Source organism: Homo sapiens, chromosome 19, assembly GCF_000001405.40.
Source record: "Homo sapiens chromosome 19, GRCh38.p14 Primary Assembly".
In the NCBI taxonomy this organism is placed as follows: domain Eukaryota; kingdom Metazoa; phylum Chordata; class Mammalia; order Primates; family Hominidae; genus Homo; species Homo sapiens.
Window position 1 is genome coordinate 9,129,344 of NC_000019.10, and position 10,834 is coordinate 9,140,177.

At 43.6% G+C, this 10,834-nt stretch overlaps 1 annotated feature.

Annotated features, from left to right (window-relative positions):
* Positions 10,717-10,816: an enhancer, noted in NCBI's record as "active region_13925". NCBI's record gives its function as "activates an Ori minimal core promoter by ATAC-STARR-seq in GM12878 lymphoblastoid cells {active_cell/tissue: GM12878}" and the evidence as "EXISTENCE:reporter gene assay evidence [ECO:0000049][PMID:35858748]".

The following is a 10,834-nucleotide window of genomic DNA, read 5'->3' on the forward strand; positions in this document are numbered from 1 at the left end:
ACCTCTCTGAGCAGACTCAAGTTTCTCACTTCTCCGATGGGAACTGGTATAAAAATGTGCATGGGGTGTTGCAGGGATGAAAAATGAATAGATGTTAGGATAGGTGTATCCTAGCACAGTGCTCAGGGGTCCTGCAATAACCTTTTATTTATTTATTTTGAGATGGAGTCTCGCTCTGTGGCTCAGGCTGGAGTGCAGTGGCACGATCTTGGCTCACTGCAACCTCTGCCTCCCGGGTTCAAGCGATTCTCCTGCCTCAGCCTCCTGAGTAGCTGGGATTATAGGTGTGCACCACCATGCCCAGCTACTTTTTGTATTTTTGGTAGAGACGTGATTTCACCATGTTGACCAGGCTGGTCTCAAACTCCTGACCCCAGGTGATCTGCCCACCTTGGCCTCCCAAAGTTCTGGGATTACAGGCGTGAGCCACCACGCCTGGCCTGCAATGACCTTTCCTATCATTTTTGTTTCTAGCTGTGGACAATGCTTGATGCCTCAGGGACATGGGGGTGAGATGGGGTGCAAAAGGAAGAAGCAGGGAAGATATCCCAAGAATAATGTCAGGCCGGGTGCGGTGGCTCACACCTGTAATCCCAGCACTTTGGGAGGCCGAGGCGGGCAGATGACCTGAGGTCAGGAGTTTGAGACCAGCCTGGCTGACATGGTGAAACCCCGTCTCTACTAAAAAAATTTAAAAATTAGCCAGGTGTGGTGATGCATGCCTGTAATCCCAGCTACTTGGAGACTAAGGCAAGAGGATTGCTTGAACCTGGGAGGTGCAGGTTGCAGTGAGCTGAGATCACGCCACTTCACTCCAGCTTGGGTGATAGAGTGAGACTCCATCTCAAAAAAAAAAAAAAAAAAAAAAAGAAGAAGAATGTCTTAGGGCTGAGCAAAGAAGGCATGTGCTCAAAATCCCACTGAGGGTTCTCCTAGTGTAATAAGGTACAGAAAAGAAAGAACTGGGCTTGACACAGTGGCTCAAGCCTGTAATCCCAGCACTTTGGAAGGCCGAGGTGGGAGGATCACTTGAGCCCAGGAGTTTGAGACCAGCCTGGGTTGTGTGTCTGTACTCTATCTAGCCTGGGTGACAGAGCAAGATGCTGTCTCAGAGAAAAGAAAAAGAAAAAAGAAAAAGCCAGGCGCAGTGGCTCGCGCCTGTAATCCTAGCATTTTGGGAGGTAGAGGCAGGCAGATCACTTCAGCCCAGGAGTTAGAGACCAGCCTGGGCAACATGGTGAAACCCCATCTCTACAAAAAATACAAAAACTAGTCAGGCATGGTGGCATGCACCTATAGTCCTAGCTACTCAGGAGGCTGAGGTAGGAGGATCACCTGAGCTCAGGAGGTCGAGGTTGTTGTGAGCCGTGATTGAGCCACTGTACTCCAGTCTGGGTGACAGAGTGAGATCCTGTCTCAAAATAAAGTAAGAAAGAAAGAAGCTAAACAAACATCAGTATGGGGATAGATACACAAATTATGGCACTATTATTACATGTAATAATAGTGTTAAACTAAGCATAGTGAATGCCCACCAATTTCAGAGAGTGGTGGTCCCCAGGAAGGGAAGGAGAGGAATAAAAACAAATCAAGAGGACTTCATGTTTAAGTGTTATACTTTATTGTTATTATTATTATATTTAGTATTTTAAATCTATTTTTAAAATTAAAAAAAATTTTTTTTTTTTGCAGAGATGAGCTCTTGCTATGTTGCCCAGGCTATGTTGCTATGTTGCCCATGCCTGTAAGCCCAAAGTGCTAGGATTACAGGCATGAACCACCACATCTGGCCTGTTTTGGGGTTTTAAAAGAGAAACCGAAAGACTGGAAATGTAAGTGAGTGGGTCTCAACTTCCTCTTCTGGAGTTTCTCACTGTCAAGAGATGGGGACAAGAGTCAAGTTATTTAAGGGTGAAATCTGGCAACAGACATGGTGAAGATTGAAAAGCCAGACACATCTCATCAAAGCCCCATCTGCAGTCAAAAGAATGAGGAAAACCATGGGGCCAGGCATGGTGGCTCATGTCTGTAATTCCAGCACTTTGGGAGGCCAAAGTGGGCGGATCACGAGGTCAAGAGATCAAGACCATCCTGGCCAACTTGGTGAAACCCCATCTCTACTAAAAATACAAAAGTTAGCCAGGCATGGTGGTGGGCGCCTGTAATCCCAGCTACTCAAAAGGCTGAGGCAGGAGAATCGCTGGAACCCAGGAGGCGGAGGTTGCAGTGAACTGAGATGGAGCCACTGCACTCCAGCCTGGTGACAGAGCGAGACTCCTTCTCAAAAAATAAAAAAAAGAATGTGGAAAACCAGAGAACTGTAGATTCCTTTTGTTTATTTGTTTGTTTTATGAGACAGAGTCTTGCTCTGTCACCAGGCTGGAATGCAGTGGTGCCATCTCAGCTCACTGCAACCTCTGCCTCCCGGGTTCAAGCGATTCTCCTGCCTCAGCCTCCTGAGTAGCTGGGATTACAGGTGCATGCCACCATGCCCGGCTAAATTTTTGTATTTTTAGTAGAGATGGGGTTTCACCATGTTGGCCAGGCTGGTCTTGAACTCCTGACCTCAGGTGATTGATCCGCCTTGGTTCCCAAAGTGCTGGGACTACATGCGTGAGCCACCGCACTTGGCCAGATTCCTTTTTGAAGGGACTAATTCATACTTAGGTAGGGAAGGAGTCCCTAGGATTTAGAAGACAGAATGAGAGCTGAAAATAATGAAATCTGATTATAAATTGTAAGAAAACAGGGGAAGTAAATATATCATGAAAAGGGTCACCGATTAGTTTGGAATCTCACTTATAACAATTCTGCTGAATTGTCTCTTACTTTATGGTTGTCCTCCAGATAAGATGGGAGAAAAAATAAAATAAAAAACTTGTTCAGTTTCTCACAGCATTTATTGGGAGCATTTCAGATTACCTTGAAGGCATCAGTAAGGAATTCTCCATTTTTTTTCTTGGAGAATTGTAAGATGAAATGGAAGATCTATCCCCAAGAAGGGCAGATGAACCAAGTAAGGCAACCCACTCTTGGGCAAGAGGGATCATCTCTGGAGCAAGACTCAGGTGTGATGTTTCCTAACATGAGCGGGGCTGTTGAGTGGAGTGGTCACCGGTAGATTATTTGCAGTCTCTGTGGCCCCTAGGAGCTCAATTTTCAAAGCTGCTCATTAGCTAGATGTGTACAGTACTGTCATTTCTTCCCCTAAGGCAGCTCAAATCCTTAATGAGCACAGGTCAGACGTGAGCACAAAGGGGGAATTCCTGGATGGTTGACTTTCTGACCCCAAGGGACAAGCTGTATGTCATTCTCTTCCAACCACATTTCCTCTTATCCCGAGGGTATCTCATTCTTGGATCCTAGGATCGGACCCCTAGGGAGCTGGTGGAATCCTCCTTAGACAGAATCCCAGCTTTCTCTGAGTCAGAAATTGCTTTTTTTTTTTTTTTTTTTTTTCAAACCAAGTCTCACTCTGCGCCCTGGCTGGAGTGCAGTGGCGTGATCTCAGCTCACTGCAACCTCCGCCTCCCAGGTTCAAGCGATTCTCCTGCCTCAGCCTCCTGAGTAGAGTAGCTAGGATTACAGGCACACACGACACCTGGCAAATTTTTATATTTTCAGTAGAGACGAGGTTTCACCATGTTGGCCATGCTGGTCTCAAACTCCTGACTTCAAGTGATCCACACACCTCGGCCTCCCAAAGTGCTGGAACTATAGGCACGAGCCACCGCACCTGGCATCAGGTATTTCTTTATACCAACACAATAATGGCCTAGTACAGTAAGTTTTTGGAAAAGAAATGGTGACATAATGTTGACAAAATGCAGATAAAGCCCAAACCCAGTCTGAAACAAATGAAGAACAAAACCTAAAGTTGATAGGGTATGAAATGGTGCAGTGATGGTGACAAAAAATGGGGCCTGTGTGGGTTTCTCTTTAAATATTGACCCTAAACTTGGGAAGACAAGGGGAAAAATGTCTGCATTCATAATCAAAGGAATGATACTTCCATCGTTTGATATTTTATGTAGTTTACTAAGGAATGATTCTATTACGATTGGAAATTACATTGACAGGCAAAAGCTATTATGTATGAAAAATGAGAAAGAATTAGACAATGGCTTCCAACGTAAATATTAAGGAGAACAGGTCTTTAAGAAGACAGTTCTTTCAAAAAAAAGGCCAAGCGTGGTGGCTCACGCCTGTAATCCCAGCACTTTGGGAGGCCGAAGAGGCAGATCATTTGAGGTCAGGAGTTTGAGACCAGCCTGGCCAACATGGTGAAACCCCGTCTCTACTAAAAATACAAAAATTAGCCAGGTGTGGTGGTGGGTGCCTGTAATCCCAGCTACTTGGGGGGCTGAGGCAGGAGAATCACTTGAACCTGGGAGGTGGAGGTTACAGTGAACAGAGATCGTGCCACCACACTCAAGCCTGGGTGTCAGAAAGAAGACAGGTCTTTAAGATCCTAAGTAGGAAATGATAGGTAAAAAGTGAAAGATAGGGAAAGCTGAAGCTATATGAGGAAACTCATAGTAAATGTTCTCTGCTTTCCCCTTAAGCTTTTCTTTTTTCTTTTCTATTTTTTTTTTAGAGACAGGGTCTTGCTCTGTCGTCCAGGCAAGAGTACAGCGATGCCATCATAGCTCACTGCAGCCTTGAATTCCTGGACTCAAGGAATCCTCCTGCCTCAGCCGCCCAATTGACTGGGACTACAGATATGCACCACCACATCCAGCTATTTTTGTGTGTGTGCAAAAATGGGAACTCACTATGTTGCCCAGGCTGGTCTCAAACACTTGATCTTTCCACCTCAGGATCCTAAGTAGCTGGGATAGCCACCGTTTCGCCACCATGCCCAGCCTAAAATCAAGACATATGAACAAGAGAATTCACAAGTTTTCTGTTTCTCTGTTGCACCAAAGGCAGTTCCATCATGACCCATCCAGTATCTTCTCCTTCTGGATTCAAGGTGTTTTTGATCTTGGGTCTTGATTTTGTGTGGCATGTACAACCTCAAAGCAATATGGTGAACTTTTTTTACCTGCTCTATCCCTAATGTATATCCACATTATTGAACTGCATTGCTCACCATTTATCAAAACTCCCATGCTGCCCTGACACATCTCTGGCTTCTCATCTGAATTGGCATCAACACAGAGACCTAATGCATTCAAGTCATTGGCACCTGACTCCTGTTCTTTAAACACCCAGCTATGCCATGATTCAGGATAATTTATTTTCTTTTATTTTTGAGACAGAGTTTTGCTCCTTCACCCAGGCTGGAGTGCAGTAGTGCAATCTCAGCTCACTGCAACATCTACCTCCTGGGTTCAAGCAGTTCTCCTGCCTCAGCCTCCCTGAGTAGCTGGGATTACAGGTGTGTGCCACCATGCCTGGCTAATTTTTATGTTTTAGTAGAGACGGGGTTTCACCATGTTAGCCAGGCTGAACTTGAACTCCTGACCTCAAGTGATCTGTCTGCCTCCCTAAATGCTGGGATTACAGGCATGAGCCACTGCACCCGGCCCCAACTTCTTCACCCTTTCGGCCTTACTGCATCTCCTCTCCTAATGCATAGAGGCCTCCAAGCCATCTATTCTTCAACCATGTTGCTATTTATTTATTTTTATTTATTTTGAGATGGAATCTTGCTCTGTAGCCCTGGCTGGAGTGCAATGGCGTGATCTCAGCTCACTGCAACCCTCACCTCCCGGGTTCAAGCAATTCTCCTGCCTCAGCCTCCCTGAGTAGCTGGTATTACAGGTGCCCGCCACCATGCCCAGCTAATTTTTGTATTCTATTTATTTATTTTGAAATGGAGTTTTGCTCTTGTTGCCCAGGCTGGAGTGCAATGGCAAGATCTCGGCTCACTGCAACCTCTGCTTCCAGGTTCAAGCCATTCTCCTGCTTCAGCCTCCTGAGTAGCTGCGATTACAGGCATGTGCCACCATGCCCAGGTATTTTGTATTTTTAGTAGAGACGGGGTTTCTCCTTGTTGGTCAGGCTGGTCTTGAACTCCCAACCTCAGGTGATCCACCCACCTTGGCCTCCCAATGTTATGGGATTACAGCCGTGAGCCACCGCGCCTGGCCAACCTCATTTCTTTAACTAGGTAACTGAGATTCAATCATATATTTTCCAAAACCTCAAATTCCCTACTCTCTGTCCTATCATAATACCTGCCCTGGAAAACGCTAACCATCTGTCTCTCCTGCCTACATAATTCTGCCGCCACGCGGTGATATGGGAAGCGCTAAAAAATTTGAGATCACCTACTCTAAAGGGGCCTTCGACACTTCAGGAAATTTCCAGTGGGCAAAGATCTTTTCATGATTTCTGCAGGATTTTGAATTCACACCATCTCAACTTCCCTCTTTTTTTTTTTTTTTTTTTTTTTTTTTTGAGACAGAGTCTTGCTCTGTTCCCAGGCTAGCGTTCAGTGGCACCATCTCGGCTCACTGCAACCTCCAACTCCCTGGTTCAAGCTATTCTCCTGCCTCAGCCTCCCGAGTAGCTGGGATTACAGGCACGCGCCACCACGCTCAGCTAATTTTTGTATTTTTTTAGTACAGACGAGGTTTCACCATGTTGGCCAGGATGGTCTTGATTTCCTGATCTCGTGATCCGCCCGCCTTGGCCTCCCAAAGTGCTGGGATTACAGGCATGAGCCACTGCGCCCGGCCACAACTTCCCTGTTTAATAACAAATGATTTTACAACTTACTGCAGAGAGAAATAGTAACGACCATGAGAAAGATTTCTCACCTTCTTTATTTTTTCTCTTATCCTAGATTCGAGAGATTTCTCACCTTCTTGACACTAGTGCGAAAGTAGTCCAGTAACAACATCACCAGTTCTTTCTTCTTTCACTCTGCAAGCAATGAGATGTCTGCCTTCTTATCTACAGCCAGTATCTCCTGCTTTTTTTTTTTTTTTTCTTTGATACAGAGTCTCTGTCACCCAGGCTGGAGTGCAGTGGCACGATCTCCGCTCACTGCAACCTCTACCTCTTGGGTCCAAGAGATTCTCCGGCCTCAGCCTCCTGAGTAGCTGGGACTACAGGCACGCACCACCACGCCCGGCTAATTTTTGTATTTTTAGTAGAGACGGGGTTTCACCATGTTGGCCAGGCTGATCTCGAACTCCTGACCTCATGGTCCACCCGCCCCGGCCAAAGTGCTGGGATTACAGGCGTGAGCCACCGCGCTCGGCCATCTCCTACTTTTCTATGCAAGGGTTTCTCATCATTGGCACGACTGACATTCAGGACCTGGTATTTCTGTTAGAGGGAGTAGGGCATTCTATACTCTAACCACTAGATGTCAGTAGTATCCCGGGTAGTGGTAAAACCAAAGGCGTCTCCACAGGTGGCACAATTGTCCTTGTTAAGAATCAAAACGTGCCTCACTCATAGGTGGGAATTGAACAATGAGATCACATGGACACAGGAAGGACATCACACTCTGGGGACTGTTGTAGGGTGGGGGGAGGGGGGAGGGATAGCATTGGGAGATATATCTAATGCTAGATGACAAGTTAGTGGGTGCAGCACACCAGCATGGCACATGTATACGTATGTAACTAACCTGCACAATGTGCACATGTACCCTAAAACTTAAAGTATAATAATAAAAAAAGAAAAAAAAACGTGCCTGGCGCCGTGGCTCACGCCTGTAATCCCAACACTTTGGGAGGCCAAGGCGGGTGGATCACTTGAGGTCAGGAGTTCGAGACCAGCCTGACCAACATGGTGAAATCCTGTCTCTACTAAAAATACAAAATTAGCCAGCCATGATGGCTAATTACAGGCTTCATACCTGTAATCCCAGCTACTCGGGAGGCTGAGGCAGGAGAATTGTTTGAAGCCGGGAGGCGGAGGTTGCAGTGAGCCGAGATCGCACCATTGCACTCCAGCCTGGGCGACAAAAGTGAAACTAAGTCTCAAAAAAAAAGGGACCCAGCGTGGTGGCTCACGCTTGCAATCCCAGCATTTTGGGAGGATGAGGCAGGTGGATTGTTTGAGCCCAGGAGTTCAAGACCAGCCTGGGCAAACATAGGGAAACCCTGTCTCTATGAAAAATACAAAAATTAGACAGGCGCTGTGGCATGCACCTGTAGTCCCAGATACTTGGGGGGCTGAGGCAGGAGGATCACTTGAGCCCGGGAGATCGAGGCTGCAGTGAGCCGTGCACTGCAGCCTGGGTGACAGAGCAAGACTTGTCTCAAGAAAAAAAAAAAAAAAAAAGGCATGATACTGGCATAAAAATAGAAACTAAAGGAACAGAACAGAGAGCCTGGGAATAAATCCAAACATATATGATGAACTAATTTTCAATAAGGGCACCAAGAGGACAAAATGGGAAAAGGATAGCCTCTTCCGTAAATGCTGCCAGGAAAACTAGATTTCCACATGCAAAAGAAGGAAATTTGACCCTTATCTTACGCCATACACAAAAATCAACTCAAAATGGATAAAAGACCAAATATATATATATATATTTTTTTGATATTACACCAAAAGATCAGACTACAAAAGCAAAAATTAGTAGACAAATGGGACTACATCAAATTAAAAAGCTTCTACATAGCAAAGGAAACAATCAACAGAATGAATCGGCGATCCACGGACTGGGAAAAAATATTTGCAAACCACATATCTGATAAGGGGTTAATATCCAAAATTTATAAAGAACTCTTATAAATCAATAGCAGAAAAACAAATAACCTGATTTTAAAATGGGCAAAGGGTCTGAACAGACGTTTTTCCAAAGAAGGCATAAAAAAGGCCAGCAGGTATATGAGAAGGTGCTCTACATCACTAATCATCAGGGAAATGCAAATTAAAACCACTGTGAGATATCACCTCACATCCTTAAGGAGAACTATCATCAAAAAGATAGGAGAGGCCGGGCGCGGTGGTTCAAGCCGGTAATCCCAGCACTTTGGGAAGCCGTGGCGGGCGGATCACCTGAGGTCGGGAGTTCGAGACCAGCCTGACCAACATGGAGAAAGCCCGTCTCTACTAAAAAGACAAAATTAGTTGGGCGTGGTGGTGCATGCCTGTAAGCCCAGCTACTCGGGAGGCCGAGGCAGGAGAATCGCTTGATCCCGGGAGGCGGAGGTTGCGGTAGCTGAGATCTCACCATTGCCCCCCAGCCTGGGAAACAAGAACGAAACTCCATTGCAAAAAGAAAAAAAAAAAGGAAAAAAAAGATGAGAGATGAATGTTGGCGAGGGCATCAAGCAAAGTGAACCCTAGTACATTGTTGGTGGGAATGCAGACTGGTACAACCTTTGTGGAAAACAGTATTCAGGCTCTTAAAGAAATCTACAACAGAACTACTATATGACCCAGCAATTCCTCTTTTGAATATATGCCTAAAAGAGATGAAATAATCACCTCATAACGATGTCTGCACTTTCATTTTCATTGTAGCATTATTTACAATATCCAAGTTACGGAAACAACCTGAATGTCCATTGATGCTCACATGAATACGAAATACAAAATAGCAGCTATGTAGTCTGAATAATATTCTATCTCTTTTGTATTTATATATGATGTCAACATTAATATCATATAATATTGATATATATTTCATATTATATTAAATATTAATATAATATGTTGTATATAAATATATACCTATTACATAATAGATATTCCCATTATGTTATATATCATGTAATATATTATATGTAATATATGTATATAATATACTATATGAAATACATATTATATATTATATGTATTATTATATGTATATATGCTATATATTATGGTGTATATATTATGTATTATGAAATATATATTACGTTATGTAATATAGATTATATATTATATATGAATATCTTATATCCATATATATTCCATACATACATTTTATATGTGTGTGTATATATATATATACGCACCATGGTCCATCCCCTCAATAATATATTTTCCAAAACCTCAAATTTCCTTCTCTCTGTCTTTTATAATACCTGCCCTGGATAATACTAACCATCTGTCTCTCCTGCCTATATAATTCTGCCCCTACTGGTTACATGGGAAGCCTTGGTTTCCTAAAGTGTTGAGATTACAGGTGTGAGCCACTGTACCCAGCCTGATTCTGGAATTTTGTATATGCAGACTCCTCCTGCTAAAATAATATATATTATATATAATATATATTCCATAATATATATAACATACATACATATATTATTTTAGCATATATTATATAATATACGGTAATAATACACATAATACATAATTATAATAAATATGATATAATATATATTCCATTGTATAAAACATATAATATATATAACGGAATATTATTCAACCTTGAAATAGAAGGAGGTCCTGACATTTATCACAAGATGGGTGGACCTGGAGGACATTACGCTAAGTGAAATAAGCCAGACACAAAAAGAAAAATATTGCATGACGTCACTTACATGAGGAACTTTTTTTAATCAAGAGAGACAGCTCAAATACACAGAAATAAAGAATGAGGCAGTTGGGGAAGAAAATGGGAAGATGTGGGTCAAAAAATACAAAATAGCAGATATGCAGGATGAACACCACACAGGTGATGGTGATTTTACGCCCTTCCCAAGGTGTCATTCAGAGGCACGTGGTCTCCATCTGACCCTCACTGGTGATATTGATTTGATCACCTGGTCCAGATGTTGTCCAATTTCTTCGCTGTACAATTTCTATTACTTTTTCTCCATTCCAACATACGAGCAGTTTATAGAGAGGCATTTAAGGCAATTCAAATATTCTGCTCGTCATGCAAATGTCCCCCAGTTGTGTCATGTAGATGACAATTCTTGCCTGA